Source organism: Homo sapiens, chromosome 9 (assembly GCF_000001405.40).
Source record: "Homo sapiens chromosome 9, GRCh38.p14 Primary Assembly".
Taxonomy (NCBI): Eukaryota; Metazoa; Chordata; class Mammalia; order Primates; family Hominidae; genus Homo; species Homo sapiens.
Genome location: NC_000009.12, coordinates 68,821,040 through 68,845,958, shown reverse-complemented (window position 1 = coordinate 68,845,958; position 24,919 = coordinate 68,821,040). Strand labels below are relative to the sequence as shown.

At 41.5% G+C, this 24,919-nt stretch overlaps 1 protein-coding gene across 14 annotated transcripts in view, besides 1 other annotated feature; it reads right to left on the bottom strand.

The window, feature by feature from the left end:
- PIP5K1B (phosphatidylinositol-4-phosphate 5-kinase type 1 beta) overlaps nucleotides 1-24,919 on the bottom strand; it is a 303,937-nt gene that overhangs the window by 163,218 nt on the left and 115,800 nt on the right. For all 14 annotated transcript variants that reach the window (XM_017015189.2, XM_047423951.1, NM_003558.4 and 11 more), the window contains one exon: nucleotides 23,276-23,344. In XM_017015189.2, coding sequence (XP_016870678.1) covers nucleotides 23,276-23,344 — 69 coding nt within the window. The remainder of the gene's footprint in view (nucleotides 1-23,275; nucleotides 23,345-24,919) is intronic.
- Nucleotides 19,943-20,444: an enhancer, noted in NCBI's record as "NANOG-H3K4me1 hESC enhancer chr9:71440431-71440932 (GRCh37/hg19 assembly coordinates)". NCBI's record gives its function as "activates a minimal SCP1, AML or CMV promoter by ChIP-STARR-seq in naive H9 embryonic stem cells {active_cell/tissue: H9 hESC(naive)}" and the evidence as "EXISTENCE:reporter gene assay evidence [ECO:0000049][PMID:30033119]".

Genomic DNA, 24,919 nt, shown 5'->3' with positions numbered 1-24,919 from the left:
ACAAAAAGACTATTAAATGGAACTCTTCCTAAATGTGTACATAGACTAACATACACAAAGTTCATTTACATGTTTTTCAAGAATCTCCATAACCTGGGTAAAGCACTGAAGGTGGGGGATAATTTTGAATATTATGCATACTTTCAAGTTGGGATTAAGCATTTTTTGTCCATGTAACCTCACGTTTCAAGATCTAGGATTACATTGTAGTCAAGATGCTATTTTCCCCCCTACACACTTTCTCTTTTAGAACAGTGGAATACAGTTTCCAAAATCCTCTATTTCTGAGCCCTGTACATTTAAACAAATAAAACAGCCACGTTAGGCCTTCAGCTTCTCCCACCTGCCTGCAGCTCCCACGCTCCAAACTCACTGGCTTTTCCTCCCTGGCCTTCGGGATCCCTATCCTCCTTTCCTCATAACCTTTAAAATTACTATGTTTCTCCTGTTCCCGGAGGCCAGGATCAGCCCTTCCGCAAGGAAAGCAACTAAGGTCTTCGGAAGAGATGCACTCTCCTCCAAAACCCAGCTGGCTACCCAAGCTGCAGATAGGATGAAAGAGAACCCCCACGGCTCCACGGCTCTGGCTCTAGGCTTCTAGCTCTTCTTCTACCAACCAACTTTTTGACCAAAGGTAGAAAAAGAGAAGTATTCACAGACAATGACTGTGGTCCTGATTTCATAAGCCCCACCATATTAATTTACAAACATGGACAGACATTTGGGATCACCAACACGCAGCACAATCAGTTTCAGGCTCCTTCTGCCACCAGGGGGCTGTGAGACTCTGAGACAGCTTCATTATAGCACGGGGGCTCACTTTCCTCCTCTAGAAAATGAAGGCAGCTGGCTTAGAGAATTGCCAAAATTTCTTCCTCCTCTAAAATTCTACACGATATACGACTTTCTGATTTCATTTATTTTTCAGTATAGGTGGTCACTGGAAGCCACTTGTTTTGTATGATTTAACATATTTCATTCCACCATTTTCTAGATGTCTGTTTTTTTTTCCCTCCCACTTACAGTTGCTGCTCTAAAAATGCAACAGAAAGTAATTGTATTTTGCCTTCTTTGGATTACAACTCTTAGAGACCGATACTGAGAAAGGAGAACAGGCAGTCATTTTTCTCACAAGTGGAGCAGGAGGAAGCAGCCTTGCTTCACCCATGTGCAATTTCCAGGAGTACCAGCTGGGTAGAGGCTGGGCTGCTGCTTATTTCTGTTTAGTCCTTTTCTCTTGAACTCTGAGAGAGCGTTATTAAATTGTTTTGGTTGTTGCCCAGGTCATAAAAGTTGGTGTCAGAGCTACCAACAAACACCTTTGGCTCTCCCCCATTAGATCTCCCCCATTGGATCTCCCCCACTGGATCTCCCCCATTGGATCTGGCCACCAGACTCGGACATCTTTCTGGGCTGTCAGGTGATGGGCCTGTTCTCAGCAGGTTTCCAAGAACCCCTTGACTTGATCCCAACAAGCCAGTCTTCTAGTGGCCCAGTCCCAAATGCACGATTATTGGCTCCTGCTGCTACAACACAAGTGGAAGTGCCCGATGCATAGTTGATTGCTCAATAGAGGGCTGCTTCCTTCCCCCTTGGTTCCCCCTTCCCAGGCATGATTAGAGGAAACTGTGGTGGGTTTCTGCAGCCCAGACCTCTGACCCCACACTCTTTCCAACAACGCTAACCTATCTGCCATCTAACTACAATGCCTTGCTCAGAGCTTAACTCAGTGTTGGCTGAATGACTGAGTAGATGATATTGAATGAATGAAGATCATCTCAATGCCAAGCTTCCATGAGCCTATGGACACATAACCCCTACTGTAAGGCCTCTCTCTTGTTTAGGCCCTGCAGCAGCCAACTTTCAAGATGTACACAAGTAATCAGTTATCAGTCTAAAAATGTTTTGTTCTCTTACATGTTTCTTGAGTCCGTTGCACAAAAGGCCTGGCCAACTACTGACTTTATCTTCACCTCCAGTATTCTGTGCTTCCTCTAACAACCTCTGCCTGTCTCCTGAGCCACACATCCAGCTTCCCCTCTTCCCAGGCCCATGTTGGCAGGGCCCGTGTCTGTGCAGAATCCGTTCATCTTTCTCCCAGTACGAATATCAGATACTTGGCTCCAGAAGGTTACAAGAAGGGTTGCTTGGAAACAGGTTGGCTTGTAAAAGAAACCTGGCATGGTATATGGCTGAGGGGAATTTTCTACAGTCTCGTTGGGTAAGGAAATAGGTTTTCCCAACAGGAGTAGAGTGGCTCACTCTCCGAATTTAAGTGAGTGAAAGAGGCCTCAGTCTCCTCCATTTACCACCACCAACCGGGGCTGCCTGACAGAGGGATGGGTGGTCCTGATGCTGGACTTCCAGTTGCTGATACTTAACGGGCTTGCCTGGTTATGATGTGTGGCCATGGAGGGGAATCACCTTGCCATCAGCCCTACACAATAAGCATGATTGGAAATACTTGTGTCTGTATCCCATGATATAATTTCTTTGGAATGTAACCACCTGGCAATGGGGAAAACCCCCAAATATGGAAATTTTTTTTCAAAAATTTAAAAAGGAACAAGGAAATACAAATCATTTTTACTACATTGGTCTGTGAGTAGAACATGGCGCTGAGGGAAGGCTCTAGCAGCCTCCTAGTCATTTCCTCCCTCCTTGGACTCTTTTCCTTTTTCAGACACTGCTGCCATAGCGGTCTTTGCCAAGACTTGTCCATGCTGAGGCCCAATTCCTCCCCTGGCATAGGGTTCCCTGACTGGGGCTGCTTGTGTAAAGAATGGATCAGGGTAAGGCACTCCTTAGTTCTTTGTATTCACAATCACCTTTAAAAATTCTATGTTTGGTTATCTAAGCTTTATCAGGACCCCAAAGAAAAACAATACATAAAAATCCTCAACCATAGGACCCACAGACGTGAAGGGCAGAGGGAAGCTGGTTTTTAACTCTGGTCACTGAGAACAGAGATCTGAGACAGCAAGTGTGGAAGCAATACTGGGACCACCTTGGCTCACTTCAGTTCACAGACTATACCAGGTATGTTTATTCCACAAGCCAAGCTGTTTCTAAATTAATCAACTGTCTATATAGCCTTCAAAGCCCAGTATCAGATAAGTCATAAATTCCTGTAGGCCAGGATTTCTCAACTTTGGCACTATTGACATTTTGGATTCGAGACTTCTTTGATGTGTGGAGCTGTCCATTGTAGGATGTTCAGCAGCATCCCCGGTCTTTACAAATGGTGCCTGTAGCACCACTTCCTCCAGACATAAAAACCAAAAATACCTGCAGACAGTAATAAATGCCCTCTGGAGGGGTGGTGAGCAAAATCAGCTCTGGTTGAGAACTAAGACTTTGTCTAAGTGCAAAACTCCCATACCAAGGTACATCCCCCTTCTATCTATAGGTGGAAGTACAACATCAATGCTTGTTGTCTGCATATATGCTATCCACATCAATGGAGTGTCTCATATTGTAGGTGTGTCAAGAATAATGCTTTAATACTCCACAGTTTTAACTCACATTTTGTTTCACCAAGCCAAGTGCAAAACACTTGAAGTGATATTACTATTTTTAAAAAACAACCTTGGGTAATTTGGAAAAGAAAGTGCACTTGCTGTTGCTTTTGTCATGATCCTTGTCTTTAAAAGTGCTGCTGGTGCAGTGTGTGTACCACTGTCCACCCTCCCTGCCTGTCCACCCTCCCTGCCTCCATGGACACATGTGCACGTAGGCACTCACGCAAAGGCTACTGTGTCCCACAGCAGATGAAAGCCGGGTTCTCAAGAGTAAACCAGGCAGGGAGTATATTAGCCATCCAAGCATGAGAAATGCCCAAGTGGAAACCAACATGAAGGCATCTTTGGGGCACATGGTTTGATGGTGTCACCCCAGTGAGTCCATCAGAAGTGCTGGAGATGAGTGCAGTGGGCTGAGAAACGCTGAGGGCCAGGGCCCAGGACCTGAGCCACAGTGTGGCTTTCTGCACTCAGCATACTCTTGGACAAGGGACTTAAGGTATTTGGGCCTCTGTTTTCTCGTATGTTAAAGAACGGTTTTATCAGAGCACTTCCAACTCTAACAGTCTAAGTTTCTAAGAATACAATGCAGAAAATGCCACTTCCACCCACCCTACAATCCTTCTTCTTTCTAAATTAATCATTTCTGCTATTTCCACCTCAAATGATGGTCACTATTCTCAATTCAACAGAAACTGCAAAAAACACACAGAATATTCAATTACTTTCAAGAAAAAAGGTCTGTCTAATCCTGTCATCAGAAATGATGACTTTTATTCCTTTTTTTTGTCCCAAGTTAAATCTCTGTGGATAGCTAATGTTCCATTTTCAAAGAACTATTAAAAAATCCATCTAAGTTTATCCAAACTGTGGGACGAAAGATGGAAAATACCAGTCCCATGGTACACATGAAGTCACTGGCCTATTTATAGCTCTCAACTGTAACCTAGGGATCACTTGACTCTATACCCCACGTAGAGATTTTCCATATATCATTTCCTTCTTCTGGACATGCTTCATAAACATGATCTGCTTCTGTAAACACCAAAGAAATAATATAGCAAATGGTTCTGTGGGAGATGCATAATAATCCAGGAAATGAAGGGGGCCACATCGTCTCCAGCAGTGAGTTCAAAATTTGATTTTGAAAATTCTGTTCAAACATGAATTGCTTCATGTTAACAGTAGTAACCTGAGCCACATTTGCTTTTCAGTCACAACGTGTTGCATTTGAAGCCAGGTTCATGTTTATGTCCCAGAAAGTGATTTCTTATTTATGTAAGTTGATTACAGGGAGACTTAGGTATTGAAGGTACATTTATTGAGCACATCGATTTTATGGAAGGAGTGAAGTAGAAAAGGGAAAGAGAAGAGGAGAAGGAAATACAGACCTGAGACAGTGATGTCTACACCTCAGGATCACAGTTGGTATCTACTGAGAGTACCAGACAGACTGACAGTAATGACAAAGGCATAACAAAGAGCTGCAGATGCACAGAGGAGGACATTGTGAAATTATATGGTGGCAGACAGAACAATGTCTCCCAAAGATGTCCACATCCTAACCTCTAGAGCCAGCAAATATGTAACCTTAGAAGGCAAAATATAATGTTACTTTACAAGGTTGCAAATACGATCAAGGTTGATGAACAGCTGATCTTGAGTTAGGGAGATTGTCCTAGACTGTCCAGGTGGGCCTAATGTAATAATATGGGTTGTTAAGAGTTAAAAAAAGAAGAGGCAAAGGAGCGGGTGAGTGAGACATAATGTAAGAGGGACTCAATCTGCCATTGTTGGCTTTAAAGGTGAAGGAAGCGGCCATGAGCCAAGAAATGTAAGTGGCCCCTGTGGAAAAGGCTTCTCTCCTAGAGCCTCCATAAGGAACACAGCCACACTGACACCTTGATTTTAGCCCAGCCAGAAGAATACTAAATGTCTGTTCTACAGAACTATAACATAATAAATGTTTTTAAGTCCCTAAGTTTGCAGTAATTTGCGACTGCAGCAATAAGAAACTAATACATATAGCAAGTGTGAAATATTTTCTTTTTTTTTTTTTTGAGATGGAGTTTCATTCCTGTTGCCCAGGCTGGAGTGCAATGGCGCGATCTCAGTTCACTACAACCTCCGCCTCCTGGGTTCAAGCGATTCTCCTGCCTCAGCCTCCCAAGTAGCTGGGATTACAGGCATGCGCCACCATGCCCGGCTAATTTTTGTATTTTTAGTAGAGACGGGGTTTCACCATGTTGGTCAGGCTAGTCTCAAACTCCTGACCTCAGGTGATCTGCCCGCCTTGGCCTCCCAACGTGCTGGGATTACAGGCATGTGCCACTGTGCCGGGCCGTGAAATACTTTCAATACTTTTAGGTCCTGTTTACTTGAGGCACCCGAACATTTTCACTCTTTATCCCACTAGCCCCAAGAGTTGATGCTAATTGGCACTGGGTTGAAATGAAGGAGACTGGCTTGCATCTGTGTGGTCCCAGAAAGTGGTCCTAGAGGACAATTTGTTGAATAAATGAATGGGTGATGAGTTTATAACAAGGAAGAGTACACACTTGGCCATCTGGGTAGAAAATGGTCTTGTCATGACCTCTCTGGAATGGAGACGACCATGGCTGGACCTAACAGGAATACAGCACCCTGGCATTTCTCCTCCTCTTTCTGCAAGACGTCTCCATCTCAGGCTCTGGTTACATCAGGGCTCCCCTAGGCTTGAAGGGCCGGTGGGATGGCAGCACAGTGTCATGTTTTATACACATTCAAGTTAATTTTCCTAAATTCAAACTCTCATGACAGATTTTGATAATTTTCTGTTGTATTCACTTTGCCAAGAACATAGAAAAGGGGGAGAAAATCTCTACTTTTTCCCACAGAGGATTAATCTTCCTAAACCTATAGAGTCATTTGAGTTCCTAATCCACAGGGTGTTTAAGGGAGGGTGGGAAAATATGCAAGATATTATTGCCTTTGCACCAAAGGGAAACCAACTCAGGTTTTCTCGAAAGGAGATGTAACCTTCTCCCCACTCTTTACCTTCTTCTCTTTCCCCGTCCCAAGGCATCCTGCCTGGCCTTCATAAAATGACTGCTGCAAGAGATGATCACAGAATAAAACAAACAAAACCACCACCACCAAGAAATCAAGAGACTTCAATGGCATTTAGCAGTCAACCACACCCCAAATTTTGCAAATGAAGAAGCATAGGCCCAAATATAACATGAAATTACATTAAAATTCTCAATAAAAGGAAAACAGAGATGAAAAAGCACAGACTTTCAGGCAAAAGAAACACAAGCTTTTTCCCCTCTGCCAAAACCAAAATTTCTCAATGATTTCAACAAACTGCCCACCCCAAAATAACTTGCAAAAAGCACTAACTCTTAAGATAATTTCCACACATTACTCTGGTATGGGGAAGTGATCAGTAGACCCATAGGAAGAAATTTTAAGACATTCTCCAAACTATAAGGAAATAAAATGATCCCATTCATCTAAACTGATATAAAATCTGAATTAAATAATATTTTAAGAGAAACATGATTTTATTATTTGCTAGTACTTGGAGTATCTCAAAAAGCTAACTGTGTTTACAATAATTGCCTTTCCATGGTCAGCTTAAATTATATGAAAAAGCCAATATTCAATAAAGATTTTAGTTAATTAATTAAAAAATTTATTTCAAGTTTTATTTTAGATTCAGGGGTACAAGTGCAGGTTTGTTACCAGGTATAATGTGCGATGCTGAGGTTTGGGGTGCAATCAATCCTGTCACCCCATTACTGAGTACAGTATTCAATAGTTTTTTCAACCCTTGCTCCCCTCCCTTCCTCTCCCTTCAATTATGATTTTTAAAAAAGTTTTAGTAAAATTGGAGGCAGAAAAAAACTTTCTTAATGCAGAAAATAATGTTTCAAGCTAAAAGACAACAGTATACTAATGGAAGCACTAGAGTGACACTTCCCAAATGTACGTGACCAAGGGATTTTTATTTATGTATCTATTAATAACTTGTGTGTACAAAGAATGCACTCTTGGAAACAGTACAAGAGGCATTTGTTTTTTAAAACACAAGTAAGACAAGGCTGTGCTGTTATCACAAGAATTCTTTGATACTGTTTTTGAATATCAAATTAATAAGACAAGCCAATTACAAAATATTGGTTAGAAGGAGAAAAATGATAATTTACACATTATATGATTGCTACCTAGAATACCCAAGAATCAGTCATGAACCGAGTAGAATAGTTAAAAAAAAAACAGGTTGTCAGTTTACAAAATAAACTCACATAAATCAAGATCTAACGTATCCCCAGTCAGAAAATGTAATGGAAAAAAAAATCCCATGCGCAAAAGAAAAAAAAAACCTCAAAACATTAATAACAAAAAACCCCACATAAGTTACACAGACATATATTCAACTAAAAATAGGTATAAAATCTATGAAGAAAATAAAAGTTTACTGAGGAGCATAAAAGACAATAAATACATAAACATTTCATTCTTGGAAGGAAAAATACAAGTTTAAAGATGCTTCTTTCTGAATTCATTAATTTAATATAATTTCAACAAAAATCACAATAGAAATTTTTTTAGAGATAGTGACCTTATAATTCTAAAGTTCAATTAGAGGGAAAAAATGTAAAAACATCACTAAGAAATTTTTGAAAATTAAGAATACCATGGGAAGTCTTGCATTACAAATTATTAAAATTAAAGCAAGGCATTACTAGCACAAAATTACAAAATAAGAGCAAAGATAAAAGCCTTAAGGGAACTATTAACAAATTTGACTATATAAAAGCTTGGGTCAAAAAAAAAAAAAAAAAACACAAAGTAAGGAAAAGTAAAAGTCTAATTTAAGAATGGAAAAGCATCTGCAACAAAAATGCAAGGCCCTAAATATATTAGTGCTTACAAATCAGACAGCAAAGGGTATTCATAAATAATAATACACATAAATCAATAAAAATCATCTGAAAAAGTCTAACTTACAATAATAATGCAAATTAAAGTGAAAACTAAGGCATTTTCACCTATCTAGCTGTTAAAACATTTTTAAAGGAGCAGTGCTTAGTACTCTTGAGGACTCGGAAAAACAGGGCTCCCCTAATTAGCGGGGGGACGTCTAAGATGGGATAACCATTTTTAAAGGTAATTTAGTAAAGTGCTAAAATGCACAGAACCCCTTAACTTGGTTTCCTGAGGTCATGGGCCAAGTTCCTTGTGTTCACTGCTGTATCCCTGCCTAACACAAACAGGTGCCCAGATTTATCTACTGAGGGAGAACATGTGGGGAGACAGGCATTCTGAGGCTGGAAAGCTGGAAACAAAGATACTGTTCCAGGCCATCTGGGTGCTGAACGCTTTCCGGCCCAAGTGACCTCGCTAAGGCTGAATTTGGGTCAATAAGCAGGAAGGGCATGGATGTCTGTAACATTTCCTATTCCAGGAGTAGACTGTGGGTTTAAATTCCTCTCTCATGGAAATGGAAGCCTGAGGGGAAAGGGCTTCGGCCTGGTGCCCCAGATTTGACCAGACTCTGCTTTGTATACCAGCCACTGTGTGTCCCCACTAGGGACTCTGAGGGCCAAGGGATGCCTGAGACATGCTGCATCTGCTCGGCATGGCCACCTGGCTTCTGGTAAGACAGCCTTCCCTTGACCAGGTAAATCAGGAGCTTTATCATAAAGTGTAGTTTCTTCCCACCCATCTATTAACTCATCTGAAGCAATTCAGGACCCTCATAATAAAAAAAAACAAAAAAAATGCACACTTAAAAATAAGCTATACATATGTGTGTGTGTGTGTAGATGTATGTGTGTACATATCCCATATGCTAAAAACAAAATTTCTCCAAAAAATGAATAAAAAGCATAGAGATAAACATCAATGCAGCTTGAGTTGGCATACCCCAAATTCCAAAGGAAATGGAAACGTTTGATGTTTTTATTACATTGAATACTTCCTTGGAAAACAGGGTCTTGTTTTGTTTTTTATGAAGCAGAATCTCAGAAGACTCCATCCTTTGATTTTGTTCTCAAATGAAACTTTACCGCTTTAAATCTCTTTTGTATTTACAACTTTAAAACCCCTCTAATTTGTAATCTTAAAGTTATATCCAAATCAAATATTCCAAAGAACACTGGGTTGGGGGTCAGGAATGGGAGAACAGACTTGTCTCCAAGATTAGAATAATTAATAAATAAGTTAAAAATAAAGAAATAACCTGGGGCGAGGGACTATGCTGATTGTGCAGCTTAGTTTGTTCATGATTTTCTTTAAAACCCATGAACGGGTTTTAGATGTTGTCTGCCCACTCCCACCTTCCCTTACCCTACTGTCTTCAACCATACACCCTCACCCCATTCTACTGTACTCTCTGTCCTTCAAGAGGGTGGCACTTGCTTCTGCCCAGAAAAACTCTATTGTCCCAGGAAGAACAGTTTGAATGTGTAGTCAGAGACAGATGAGGAAAAAGGGTTCTTGAAGCCCAATATAGCTTCCTCAAACTAAATCAGACACTGAGAGATGGTAAAGCTACAACAGAAAATTTGTCGTTTTTATTTAATATGACGGAAAGCAAAAAAAAAAAAAAAATTCACTTTCTAGGCACAGGCTTTTTAAAAAGGTGTCTTTAATCCATGAAGGTTAGATTTCCTTTTGCCACAGAATTCCACTGCTTTTTGAAACAACCTTCCACCTTCAATAGTCAATAATAAGGACTACCACAGAAGGAGAATGGGGTCCCAATCTGCAATTGGAATGGGTTTGAAATTTCCAATTCCATACTTTGAACAGTATCCCAATATGGAGTAGGTGGCAGTATTATTGGGGCCTTCACTAAGTATTGAATTCTAGTAATACCTGGACTGCCAAGTCCCCATTCTCATAGGGCTTAAATTCCATTGGGAGTAGGTGGGGAGCCAGCATCAATAGTAGCAATTTGATATTTGTACAGCCAATTACCATCTTCCTGGTACCTTCTCATACAGTGTTAGATTTAATACTCAAGCCATACTATAATATTTCTATGCTCAGCCATTGTCTTGCACAAGGATGAGCTCATCAATGGCACAGCCAGCCTGATGGCCCTGGCCACACACTCCCTTCTCAGTCCACTGCTGGTGAGGAAGGAAGACGGAGAGTAAGGTCCAATGTTCTGTCTGTTCTCATCAATGCCTGTTTCTGGGTCCTAAGTGCAGCTATAAAGTCTACACTCCTCTATGATTTTGAGAGGGATACAGTTGATTTTAAAACTGCTAGGCTATTGTTCCCTCTCACTCTCTTTGAAATAGCAAACCTGAACAATCATTGATCTTGTTTCTTTCATGTTACAAAGAAAAGGGCATTGACTATGATGTTTGTTCTGGAGAAATGGGCTGCCAAACGATCCCAAATCCTGACCTCCCCTGACAAGTTACTGTCATCTAAGGGCTGCCTTTAATTGAGCCAACATCTGGAAAGAATAGAACCTTTAAGTGACAGTGTTGGAAAAAGACTGCCTTTTAAAATTCATTGCTGAAGTTCTTCCAGGAACAGCTGATCACAAGCCATCTGTAGACTACAGATGAGGGGACTTCAGGATGCCACATCATTAAGAGCCAACTTTCAAATGCCTGTACAGTGACCCACAACTCAGGTAATCACTACCATTTTGAAACAGAAAAAGCCAAGGGAATGGAACTGAGCACCTTCAAAGTGTTCTTTCTGTGAACATCCACAGTACAAATTCTATCCCTCTTCAGCCCCCCAGCCCCGCCCCATATTTCACCTCTAATTGCACCTCCAGAACTGTAGGCTCAAGAACATATCTCTTTGGAAAATCTATAACAATCTTAGAATTAAGAAGAAAAAAGTGATACATCCTTTGGATGCTGTACCAGACGCTGCGTGGGACCCTCTGGATGTCAAAATAATTGGGCAAGGCTCCTGCTCCCCAGCCACTCACAGTGCAGTTGGCAGGACATAACTGCCAACAATTATTACAAAACAAAGTCACCTGTGTCATAACAGGGTTAAGTGCAGGGTGCTGAGGGAGGCTGGGGAGGGTGACTGACAGCCACTGCCTGGGAGGGTGGACAAAGGCAATGATAGAGCTGTTTCTGGAATGAAGACATCACAGAGTGATCAGCTTGCGTGGGAAGGAATGGGGATGGAAAAGAGGAAGGTGCAGCATTCAGTGCGGCCGCAGTTAGGTGCGTGTCCAAGATAATGGCAGGAGATGGTCAAGACCCACCCAATGGGGATGGCTGTGAAGGACTCACATGCCACGCTATGGAGCATGGATATTTTCTGAAGGTACCAGAAGGCCAATGGAAGATAATAAGGCAGTGACTTGGCCAGCTTTGTGTATTTTAGGAATATAACTGTGGAAAAGGATCTTAGGAGGCAACATCAAAATATGGATGTTCCCCCTTCCTGAGGCCTCTCTTCTCCATCTATTTCACCAATGCCTATGCATCTGCAATTTGACAAATTGAAGCTGAGCCCCAGACCTCTTCCTTGAGTCCCAAGTCCATGTCCAGCCACCCACTTGCCTCTCTGACATTCTCAAACTCACATGTCCAAATTGGAAGACTTGTTTCCCCCCTACCATTCATCTCTGTCTCAACAGATGGTCACAGCATCCACCCAGGTGCTCAAATTAGAATCCTGGGATCAATCATTCCTACCATGCCCTCACCCCCACATCCAACCATGGCCCCGTCCAGTCAATATCAACTCTGAAATGAATCTCAAACTTGTTTTCTTCTTTCTCCTCTAGTCCACAACCTTTGTCTAGGCTGCTGCCTATTTCTCTAACTCAGGGCTTCTCAACTTAGCACTATTGACACTTGGGGCTGATGAGTATTTGTTGTCGGGGGGTGGGGGGGCAGTGTCCCTGGCCTCCTACCAGTAGCACCTACTCCCCTCAGTTCTGACAGCACTGTCTAATGTCTCCTGGGGGACAAATCTGCCCCCATTGGGAACCGCTGCTGTCACGCTACTCGGCCACTCTTCCCTGCTCAGAACCTTGCATCACACTGGCCTCCACCTCAGTTCCTTGAATCCACCAAGCTCCTTCCTGCCTCAGGGCTTGGCAAAGGCCATTCTCTCTGCCAAGCACACTCTTTCGTCCACTCTTATCTTGACTGCCTCCTTCACACACTCGCGATCCCAGCCCCTGTGCTGCCTCCTTAGGGAGGGTCCCCTGAATACCTTATCTAAAAGGCAGCAGTACCTTTGCCTATCTTTATTTTCTTCATAGTACTTTAAAAGTTAGTAATTATTTGATTGTGCATACTCTTTCTCATCTGTCTGTACCATGACAATGAAAGCATTATTAGGGGCAGGGACTATGTCTGTCTTGGCCTCTGTTCCACCCCTTAAGGCCTAGCACCATGCCAAGCTAAATAAATACTTGTCAACTGGAGAAATGAATGAGTACATGGACGTAAGTCAAATGTATGTCATACATTCTAGGCACTAAGCACACCCATAAAAATGGCAAGGTCACAATATGAAAACTTAGCTCAGGAAAATTAGAATGTTACCCAGACAGTCTACATTTCAGCCCTGTGCTCAATAACCAAACGATTCCTGATCTGCAATGAAGTAGACAGCAGTGCATCTTGGATGAGCAGAAAACACTGATTTAAGAGGAAGAGTAGCTCATCAACTCTGCTGGAAAGAACTGCAGCAAGACCTCATGAATAGTTTAGAAGTCTCCTAGTAATTGAACCCAATTTCTGTCTCTGGGTGTCTGGGTGTACGTGCATGTCAGAAGTTGGGCAGAACAGATAGAGGACTGAGAATCTTAATTTCACAGCCCCCACAGAGCCCACGGCCCATCTTCTTTTCCTTCCTTAATGATATGTTGAAGGGTTGCCTCTTTCATGCAGAGGACTGAGCTGCCACATATTCCTTTCTCTGGCATAATAAAAGCAGCTGACACAGGACCAGACAGTAAACAGAACTTGCCAGAAAATACAGTGTACCATTTGGGAGAACTGGATTCCCATAGAGGAAAATGACTTTCAAAATAGTCATCCTCCTAGCTAATGCTTTCTTTACCAGATGTTTTTAAGTGATTGAGAAGATTATTATTGAGTTGTGACTCTTTCTGTGACAGTCTACAGAACTGCCAGTTAGGTTTTAAAATGTGTTCTTCTCCTAACTTGACAATCCAAGATATGTCACCACTGTCAAGTGGATCTCATCCTTTACTGTCAATTTTGAGTTCTGCACTCAGGGATAATTTTTGAAATGATCACTTTAGTCATCTTCCCATTTCTAGTGTTATGCACAGTGCCCAAGGGATTTTTTTGTTTTTCACTTTAAAATCACTACATACTTTCTAGAAAAAGTTATTCTTGAGGCTACAGTTCAGATTCTGTGTTCAGAAGTGAGATACACTTTGATGAGAAAAATGGCTTTGGAACCAATGAATCAGGGAAAACATTTTAAAATTGTTAAATTCTAGTTGGGGCGTGGCTCACGCCTGTAATCTTAGCAGTTTGGGAGGCCAAGGCAGGTGGATCACCTGAGGTCAGGAGTTCGAGACCAGGCTGGACAACATGGCGAAACTCTGTCTCTACTAAAAATAAAAAAAATTAGCTGGGCGTGGTGGTGGGCACCTGTAATCCCAGCTACTCAGGAGGCTGAGGCAGGAGAGTGGCTTGAACCCGGGCAGCGGAGGTTGCAGTGAGCTGAGATCACACCACTGCACTCCAGCCTGGGCAACAAGAGCAAAACTCCGTCAAAAAAAAAAAGTTAAATTCTATTAATTTGTTCCCATTCCAAAGCTGTCTGAGTTTATCTTACTGACCCCTGCTACTATTGCAGATAATTGAGAATCACTGTTTTAATGTCTTGAGCAGCACTGCCCTCCAGACACCACAGCATTCAGACAATAATGCAGTGGGTAGGGTCTTACAGATCCTGAAGAAAGGCAGTTGGGGTTAAAATCCCAGACTTATTCTGCCACATACTTGCTTTATGCCCTGGAGCATTTAATTAACCTCTCTGTACCTGTTTTCTCATCTGTAAAATGGTCGTAATAGTATAACCTCATAAGGTTGTTAGGAAGATTAAATGTATTTTCTAAAGTGCTTAGAATGATAGCGGGCATGCACTAAGCACTTATGTTAACTCTATTATTAGCATTGCTTTTAAAATTGCTTTTGATTGGTAATAATTAGGCTTCAATTCACTGAATTAGTAGGCTTCTGGTTAAAATAAACTCAATATATTTGATAACATTCTTCCATCAGCCAATGATTCTAACTCCATAAAACAGCAAAAACTCTGAATAAGCACAAGGTATGTTCCCTACGACTATTGAGTAGATGTAAGACTAGAACCTAAATTACATTGCTGTTATCTTTTCCCAAATTCAGAACAGAGAACTTTAGAATTTTAAATTTTCATGTCCTTTTGCAACTTCTTAAGAGCCACCTTAAAAAAAATCTCTTTTATGTGCTCAGGCAAAGGAGGGCAGGTAGTGAGTGGTGAAAGTGGATGAGCCACAGGCCTCAGGGAAAGGGGGCCTGCTGGCCAGATCGGAACCAGGTTGGCTGAGCTGTGCAGGGAAGCGAGTGAACACCTGCTTATATTAAGCCTTTTAATTGAAAAACAAAAGCATCGTTGTGCCCTGAGAACATGGGCCACAGTTCAGACGGCCCCACTGGCTGCAGTAACACTGAACACCCCAACCTCCTCGCCTGCCATTCACACCAAACTCAACAACACTGTGGGGTTTTTTTGCCAGTGAAGGAAGCCGTGCAGGAAGTTTTGGGTGTAGAATACGATTTCCTATAGTTCGCGTTTTAGAGACAGCAATGTGACGTTTATTGGTATTAGGGACCAAAACACAGAGAGTCTACAGTTAATCAGAAGGCAGAAGTACAACAAACCTGGGTAACTTAACATATGGAGGCCCCCTCCAAAGCGAATGCTGAAAGAGGTCACTTCAGAATGAACCATTCAGGGCAACAGGCTAATAATGAGAGGGTTGGCTCGCTCAGCTGTTTTAATCTGAAGCTGCCAATTCTTTTTGCTTAATTATCTGTAATGTCCTGCTTAAAACTCATAAAGGCAGACTTGCAATCACCTGCTTTAGTACTTAGTGAGGAAGGAGACAGAAGCACAAGTGTTTGGAGGGGTGATCTGACAGGGCGGGGGGTGCATGGTAACGTGATATGATTACACATGCTTCTAAGTGTAACGGAATTATTTAAAAAATGTTCCCTCTGTAAATGATGCAGCTCACCTCCTTGCTGCTTAATTTTTAAAAACACAACAGCAGTTTACTATTTTTTTTTTTGAGATGGGGTCTTGCTCTGTTGCCTAGGCTTCAGCACAGCGGCACCCGTTTACTAGTAAGAGCACATCTTTCTCTCTGATTTTAAACACCTGTTGCTGTTGGGACGCATACAGCATCATGCCCCAGTACTGTCAGCTCACCTCCCATGCCCAGGCTTGACTGCAGCTACCCCCAGGAGACTAAGTAACCCTTCTCCCCGGGAATCCAGTGCTCCGTCCCCATAGAACTAATCTGGAAATCAGAGGCTCAGGGACTGCATTCTTGCTCATCAAAACAGTGACTTCACTCATTAGTATGCTACTTTTCCCAGTATTTGCTCAAGTCTGTTAAACTGTTTGATCCTCACAGCACTATAAGCCAGCTTGGGTAGATATTAATTAATTACATTTTATCAATGAGAAAAATTAAGGTTCACAACAACTAGGAAAAATGCCTACAGTTATCAACCAGTATCTGGAAGAGCTGGACTCACATCCGCCCTCCTCTTAAAAAGGGTAGTTTGATTTGAACAAGGCTTCTCAGCCTTGGCACTAACAACGTTTAGATAATTCTTTGTTTTGGGGGTCCATCCTCTGCATCATAAGACGCAGCATCCTTGACCTCTATCTCCTAGAAGCCAGTAGCGCCAGCCCTCACTTTGTAACAACTAAAAATATGTCCAGATATTGCCAAATCTTCCTGGGGGGTGGAGGCAGAATTGCTGGTTGAGAACCAGCAGGTTAGGGTATTTTGGATTAAGGTGGATTAGGAATCACACTTAGAATACCAAAGGGTCATTCATCCTAGAGACCAGCATAGCTGCTATTCATGACAACTGCTGCTTAGCACAAACGAGTTTGCTTGTTTTATGGAAGTGGTGGCTTTCCAGAATCTGAAGGAAAAGAAGAATGGTCAGGACAGAGAACACACTCCAGCCCCTCTTCCCTCCAAAATCCTGAAACGTTATTTGTTCAATTTTTGAACTGGTATTACCTTCACATAGTTCAAAATTAAATATGCATAGAAAGATGTATTATTTACTTATTTTTTGAGCCAGAGTCTTGCTCTGTCGCCCAGGCTGGAGTGCAGTGGCGTGATCTCGGCTCACTGCAACCTCTGCCTTCCAGGCTCAAGTGATTCTCCTGTGTCAGCCTCCCAAGCAGCTGGGATCACAGGCTTGCACCACCGTGCCCAGCAAATTTTTGTATTTTTAGTAGAGATGGGGTTTCACCATGTTGGCCAGGCTGGTCTCCAACTTCTGACCTCAGGTGATCCACCCATCTCGGCCTCCCGAAGTGCTGGGATTACAGGCATAATCCACCGTGCCCAGCCATAGAGCCACCGAGCCACCATGCTCGGCCATAGAAAGGTTTACACAGAGAAGTTTCCCACCAACTAAGGACCCTACTACCCGGTTCTCCCTGGAGACAGACAGTGTTACCAGCTGTCAGAAACATTTTATAAAAGACCCTGTATTTAAAGAAATACTTCCTTTTAGATCAAAGTGTCTCTGAGCTATTATCTTACTCATGGTGAAAAAGCAATAAAAGGCATCTTTCCTTGGAATGTGGTCACGGTCAGGTACTATTTCCTCCTTCCTCACCGCTGCCTGCCTCCACTGATAGGAAACTGTCTCAGACACTGGAATGAAGCAACAACCAAGGTCTTCAAAGATAAAACAAAGTGAAAAAAACTGGGCATTTGGGTCAAGGATCCTGTAGGTGTCCTGGTCTGGTCAGTTTCCCAATGGAGCTTTCTGAATGCTGTGAGCACGTGTGCCCGTCACAGTGAAAACCAGCTAAAAAGACTCTGCACACTGTAGGCGAGGCCTCGGTGCCACAGGCAGGTGGCCTCTGACCCCACGGCAGCCTGCGGTCATCAAAACCAGAATCTCCCAGTGGAGGCCTATTGTGGGCAGGCCCAGAAAGGCAGGAGAAACAGAAGAGGAAGGGGTGAGGGGCCTAGAACGACAACCTCAGGGTGAAGAGGTGAGACAAGAAGAAAGGCAAATGGCAGTGCACGTTTCCCATGACAGTCAAGGCCCTGGTGTTGGGAAACACTGACCCAGTCCAACGGACAAATGACAACATGGGACATCATGTGACTGGAGCTTCTAATCATCTTCCTAACAAAGAACTGCAAGGTAACCTGGCATATGTCACTGAACCACCCTGACATCTGTTTGTTTTGGAGAGGTGGGGCTGGGTCATTTCTTCACATATAAAACAGACAAAACTTGAATGTCTAGCATCAGTATTTGACTTGCATTGAGACCATCCTCTTTCAAGTAAACTCGTGCCCTGCGCCTCCTGCTTCCTTTTAGGTCTCTTGCCTTTTTAAACAACAAACAAACAAAATCCCAAAATAACACAATACTCTTTCCCAAACTTCCCTAGTTCCACCAATGGCAGAAAACTTCTGGTAGTCGCACTGATTGGAAATGTAATTTTCTTTTCAAAAATATTCCCCACATCTTTTCCTACTCAACTTTGCACCCAACTTTGTTGCTCAACTAACACAAAAGCCTTCCCGTGTCATCTCCCTCAACCCTGTACAACTTGTGCTCTGCCACTGGCTTTGCACAGGCCTTTCATTTGTCACTAGCCCCTACAACAATGTTACAGTACATCACCGCCTGAAAACTGCACTCCCCAGCATGGCAGTCATCAGCCACGTGTGCTTATTTAAGTTTAAATTTAACTAAAATTAAGATTAAAAATTACAGTTCTCAGACACACTGGCCACATTTCAAATGCCCTATAGCCACACATAGCTTGTGGCTACCGCATTGGTGCAAATTATAGAACATTTCCATCATTGCGGGAAGTTCCGTTGAACAACACTGGCCTAGAACATAAAATCCAAACACCTCAAACCAGCACCCAAGGGTAGCTGTCATTTAGAGCCAGCCCATACTTCCAAAACTGCCTACTACTTTCCCCAGACACCACCACTTAGCTTTGTCCAGGCCAGCCTCTCCTGTAATGCCAACAAATCATGCTCCTCCCTGTTTCTGTGCCTGTGCTCATTGGACTCCCTGACATCAAGACAAACACGTAGGTAAATCAGAATGCACAGTCACTTAAAAAGTGGAATTTTTGGCCGGGCCCAGTGGCTCACACCTGTAATCCCAGCACTCTGGGAGGCCGAGGTGGGTCGATTGCCTGAGCTCAGGAGTTCGAGATCAGTCTGGGCAACATGGTGAAACCCCATCTCAACTAAAATACAAAAAATTAGCCAGGCGTGGCGGCATGCACCTGTAGTCCCAGCTACTCGGGAGGCTGAGGCAGGAGAATCGCTTGAACCCGGGAGGCAGAGGTTGCAGTGAGCCAAGATTGTGCCACTGCACTCCAGCCTGGGCGATAGAGTGAGACTCCATCTCAAAAAAATAAAAATAAAAGAGAAATACCACTTGTCTTGGCACTTACTCAACACCGATTTGGGTCAAGATTTAATTTTTTCATGTGGGTCCCTCTTTTTTCTCCCAAATAAGTTGTAAGGTCAGGGGAGGCAGAGACAAGTTCTTACACTTCTTTTGCATCCTCCTTTTTTCTTCTCACTTTTTTACACCAACAGGGAGGTCAGAGGTTGTAAACTGGCCACTGCCTACGGGACAGATAGGGCCTGCAGGCAAACTGTTTTGCCCAGAGTGTATTTTTAAAAACATTTGAATTAGTTGCTGTTATTTAAAAATGGCAGATTTCATATCAAAATCTTCATCTCTCTTTTCTTGAAAAACATCAGAGTATCTGGCAACCCTGGGCGAGCATTCATTCATAGCTCTGTTGGCTAGAGCTGACTGCCTGCTGCCCCTTTTAAGGAAGGCGTGGGTTCTGTTTACCATGGTCCCCTCGTTTTCTCACTCCCTTCTTTGCTGCCTGGCCCCAGTAGGCTTCTGCATTTACAACTCTTGCGGAAAGCACTCAATAAATTAACTGATAATGGAAATACTCCACTCTGTAAATATAGCCAGGCAGCCTTTAATGCCTGTCTTAATGGGCAACTTGTTTGTTTTATGCAGCTAAAATCAAACTTCTTATTTTAGCCATTAGCTGAAGACATTATTAACCTCACGGACCAATGTTAGCTGTTCTTCCCGGGCTTGCCAAGAACTGAGAATGGATTCAGGAAATGGTCAACTGCAAGACAAAAGGCAGCCAGCCTCAATAATCACATGCAAATAGCTGAGACGCAAAGTGTAAAGTTGTCCCATGAACACTGAGTGTTCCCTAATAACACGTGGAAATCATAGCACTCATGACGCTGAATGTTACTGGCAGCTGCCCAGTAAATCTGGGGCTCCATACAGAAAGCCTAAACCTGCTGCTTAATTCTAACAACATTGGTTTCTTCCCTTTTGAACTCCTCATTATAGACTACTGTGTTCTAAAACTGTTTTCATGTCTTGCCTCTCCCACTCCACTGTGAGCTACTTATAAACTCCTGTGGTATATTTCTCACTCCTAGCATAAAGGACCAGGGGCCTTAACCTGGGATCCATGGACTGGCTTCAGTCAATGCAAAAACACAATGGGTCATCAAAGCTTCTTAGTAAATCTGTGCATACCTTATGATCAGGGCTTCAGGACTGGGAAAGAAATTTAAGGTATTTGTAAAGGGAATAAGATGTATGGTGGCCTTGACAACACTTGTGTAGTCTGTTTGCTATCATTTACAATTTTTTTGTCATTTGCATTTGCAAAGCACTGCTTTTATGCTTTCATTAAGGTCATGGGTGAACATGGTAAGCTACCCAGGGCCAACTCATGCATCATGCTGGTGGAAACCGAGTGAACAGGGAGCAAAATTGCCAGTTTTCGAGACCATCAGTCCAACCAGATACAAACACAATAAACATAATATTTAACCCATACTTATCCACCTTGTCTGAAAGGAGACTAGCGAATCTTTTAGACACCTTTAAATCAAGACTCATTAAATTTGAACATACTCTTTATGAGTAATTTAATGACTCTCTCAAAATAGGAAATGCAGTTAGTTTGAAATAAACTACATCTTTATGAATTTCTCCAGGTTTGTAAAAGATATGTTTCTTCTCTAAATATGTATAAACCATATGTTTAATAATAATGCTCAAATTATACTGGGGAATAATGTCTCACTTATAATCTGGTTTCCAGAATGTACTCTTCCTCATTTTTGAAAATAAGAATAATATTTGCTTATGTCCTGTTTTCTGACAATTTTCCCATTCTGAAATTCATTTAAAGCTCACATTCAGAGGTTTTCCTATTCTAGCTTTAAGTTCTTTCATCTGGGAAATGGTTTATCTGGACCTGGAGATAAACACATTTGCAATAGCTAACTCCTAAGTCCACCATGAACACCTTCTCTAGTTTGAAGATCAGAGAACTAAACCGAATAATTCAGCTGAGCTTTTACCTGCCAGTAAAACAACACTCTCTCTAAGCGATTCCTTCTTCTTGCTATTCATATCAATACCATATTTATTAAGGGCTGAAGTTCTAAGTGCTGTGCTGGTCTTCTTGGTGCTTTTTAAGAGAGGCTACGTACATCTCCTTCCATTGCTTATACTTTTTAAAACCAGAAATCATTAATAAGATCCTGATATTATTACACATAAAAAATTGTTCATTAAAAAAAATTTCTGGTCCCCTTAGGTTTTCTGTGTCTTTCCTTATTTCTCCTACCATAGAATTTGATTTTTAGTTTTTACAACCTAAAAAACATTGCTGAGTTAAATATCCTACTGGAGACATTAATCATAGAATTACCTATACTAATTATTGAAAACCTGCTTGACTAAATAAATTCTTGGGCAGGGTACACTTAGCAAACTCTGAGATGTCATGGTCACATTTTTTCTATAACTTTTGCAGCGACAAAGGATCTCCTGTGAGTCAGAATTTGGTCAAGAATTTCAGTGCATCTTGATGCTGATTGAGAATACCACCTGAAACTGATCTGAAGTAATAACAGGCTAGCAACGTAATCATCTCTGTGTTGGTCCATGCTTGAATGAATGTACACGGAATCTTGGGTAAACGAGACAGGATTTGGTTTTTCACTTGTGTCTAAAAATAAATAATAGTGTATTGTTGCCTCTGGCCCAATGTACAAATTTTATAAAATATACTGCGGCACTTCTGAGCTCTTGAATCTTTACCCAACTCTTTTCCAACCACACCATCACTTTGAATGACAACCTCCCAGTTTGTATTTCAAGGTTTGGCTGAGTGGAAAAATCAGATAAAGAAGATATGCCAGGAAAAAGGGCACATTCTCCCATATGAAAATGGAATAGAAAATACATCATGCTAGTTCCATGACCTGAATATGTGGTCAGAGCCCATAGCTCATGTACTTTATGACTAAACGTCTTGCAGGCTGTCCATCAAAGTATAAAAGGAAAAATTAAGAAATAATAAACCTTCAATACACAAACCTCCTACTCTTAAGAGGGCAAAATAGCAAGAACTTTGAAAAGCTAAAATGTATAGTCAATTTATAATCAGGAGTAGAGGTGCTTGGGAACATATTTTACCCAGTAACGTGTTTGAACATTAGCTTGGTAGCTGGGAGTCGAGAATTTATCAAAGACTGGTAAGTTAAGATACATTAGGAAGTCTGGAAAAAGACTTTTTGTGAAATGGGCTGAAGACATAAAATCTGAGCGGCTTAGAAAAGGTGGGGAAGAGGAGCATCTCACATTTTAAAAGTTTTAAAATACAAAGGTAGGAAATGTTTTAAATGTTGGTGGAAAGTAGTGAGTCCATTAAAGGATTCATATATTATACACAGAACACTGCATGCCCTCAGGAGCCTTCTTCTTAGGAATAAGAAGGGTCTTCAAACAACTCTCTTCACTCAATATTCTATATTATGGTGAATTGACCCCCAAAGATTCCCATGCTCTAATCCTTGGGACCTGTGAATATGTCACCTTCTAAGGCAAAAATGAATTCAAGTTGCAGAGGAAATTAACGTTGCTAATCAGCTGACCTTTTAGATAAAGAATATTAATTTTTATTAATATTTTCCCATATTTCTGTGAGCCTAGGAGGGCTCAATGCAATCACACAGGCCCTTTAAAGTGTCAGAGTGATACAGCCTGGGAAAGACGCCACCGGCCATTGCTGGCTTTGAAGATGGCAGGGAGCCATGACACAGGGCACGCAGGGAGCCTCTAGAAGCCGGAAAAGACAAGGAAGTGGACTCTCCCCTGGAGTGTCCAGGAAGGAATACAGCTCTGCAAACACATGGATCTCAGCCCAGGGAGACCCATGTCAGGCTTCTGACTCACTGAACTATAAGATAATGCATGTATGTTGTCTAAGCCACTAAATTTGCAGTAATTAGTTATAGCAGCAACTGGAAACTAAGATAGTAACTTACAACTGCTTGGGAGAAGGAAAGGCCTTTGATAATATTCACGTGCCAAACAGCAAAACGGTGTTCCTCTTTAGAAAATAAAATGCACACTCACCTTTTTATAGGTTTTTTCTTCATTTTGTTTTCCAGGTGCTGCCTCTCCATTTTCAGCAGCAGAAGACATCTACAAGAGAAACACACTGCCCTTTGAACTTCAATGTTACTCTGAAATACAATATATTAATAATATTGCTAACCAAAGGATCTATTTTAGTTAAGTATGTTTTTGTTATTGCTATTGCTGTTGTTCCTAAGGAAGACAGAAACATTTCAGAATACTAAAAAAGAAATCTGCATTCCTTAATCTTTCAAAAATAAATCTAAAACATTTTCGTAATATATTTTATCCCATATGCTCTAAGAAAGCATGTACATGTGTATAAGTTTCTTTCTACAAAGCTTTTTTTTTTTAGAGATGGGGTTTCACTCTATCACCCAGGCTGGAATTGGAATGCAGTGGTGTGATCATGGCTCACTGCAGCCTCAAACTCTTCAGTTCAAGCAGTCCTCCCATCTCAGCCTCTCGAGTAACTGAGATTATAGGCATGTGCCACCGTGCCCAGGCTACATAGCCTTTTAAAAAACTTTTCTTCTGGTTATGCATGCTCACTGTAAAATTATCTGGGAAGTACCAAAAAATATGAGTCAGAACAAAAAAATTACTCAATTCTACTACCCTTGGGCAACTCCTCTATTCACATTTTGTCATATTTATTTCTACCTTTTATTATGTGTATTTTCATATGAAAAAACTTACAATACTATCTTACCCAGTATTTTTCACTGAACATTTATGTAATAAACATTTTCCCATTTGATTACAAAAATATCTTTGTAAGAATAATTTTTTTCTAGTTGCAAGATATACCACTGTGTGGACACCACTGTGTGTTAATACTTTAGTCAATGCTAATATTGAAGGATAGTTGAGGCAGCTCAAAGAGTTTTGCTCCTGCAAATAGTACAATAATTATTTTATGCTTATATCTTTATCTAACTTCAATGTTTTCTTGGACTCAATTCTTGGAACTGCTAGGGCATACTAGGGTATTAAAAAATTTAAAGCTTTTACTACATATTGGTAAATTTATTTCCAGAAGAGTATACTCATTCACACTGCTATCAGCAGTGAGTGGGGGCTTGTTTCATTACACATTTAGTAATGACTGTTATCATCTTAAACAGCTTTGCTAATCTGACAGGTAAAAGAAATCATCTCCTGGTTTTAATTTGCATCTGTGAAAATTACTGGTGAAGGTTAACATTGTTTTCACATCAGTTTTAGTTCTTTGTATTTCTTCGAGTCTTCCATTGTTTCGTCCATTTATCTATGGAGGTCTTAATGTTTCTGATATTGATTTTTACCTATTATGGTTATTCATACTAGTGGTTTGCTTATTTTTATGTTTTAAGGTCATTAATTGCTTGCCAAGTGCATTATTAATATTCTTCTGTGTTAGTATCTGCCTTTTTGTTTGTTTTTGAGACAGGGTCTCACTTTATCACTCAGGCTGGAGTACAGTGGTGCCATCACAGCTCACTGCAGCCTCGACCTCCCAGGCTCAGACAATCCTCCCACCTCAGCCTCCCAAGTAGCTGGGACTAATTTTTTGTAATTATTTTGTTAGAGACAGGGTTTTGCCATGCTGCCCAGGCTGGTCTCGAACTCCTAAGCTCAAGCAATCCTCCTGCCTTGGCC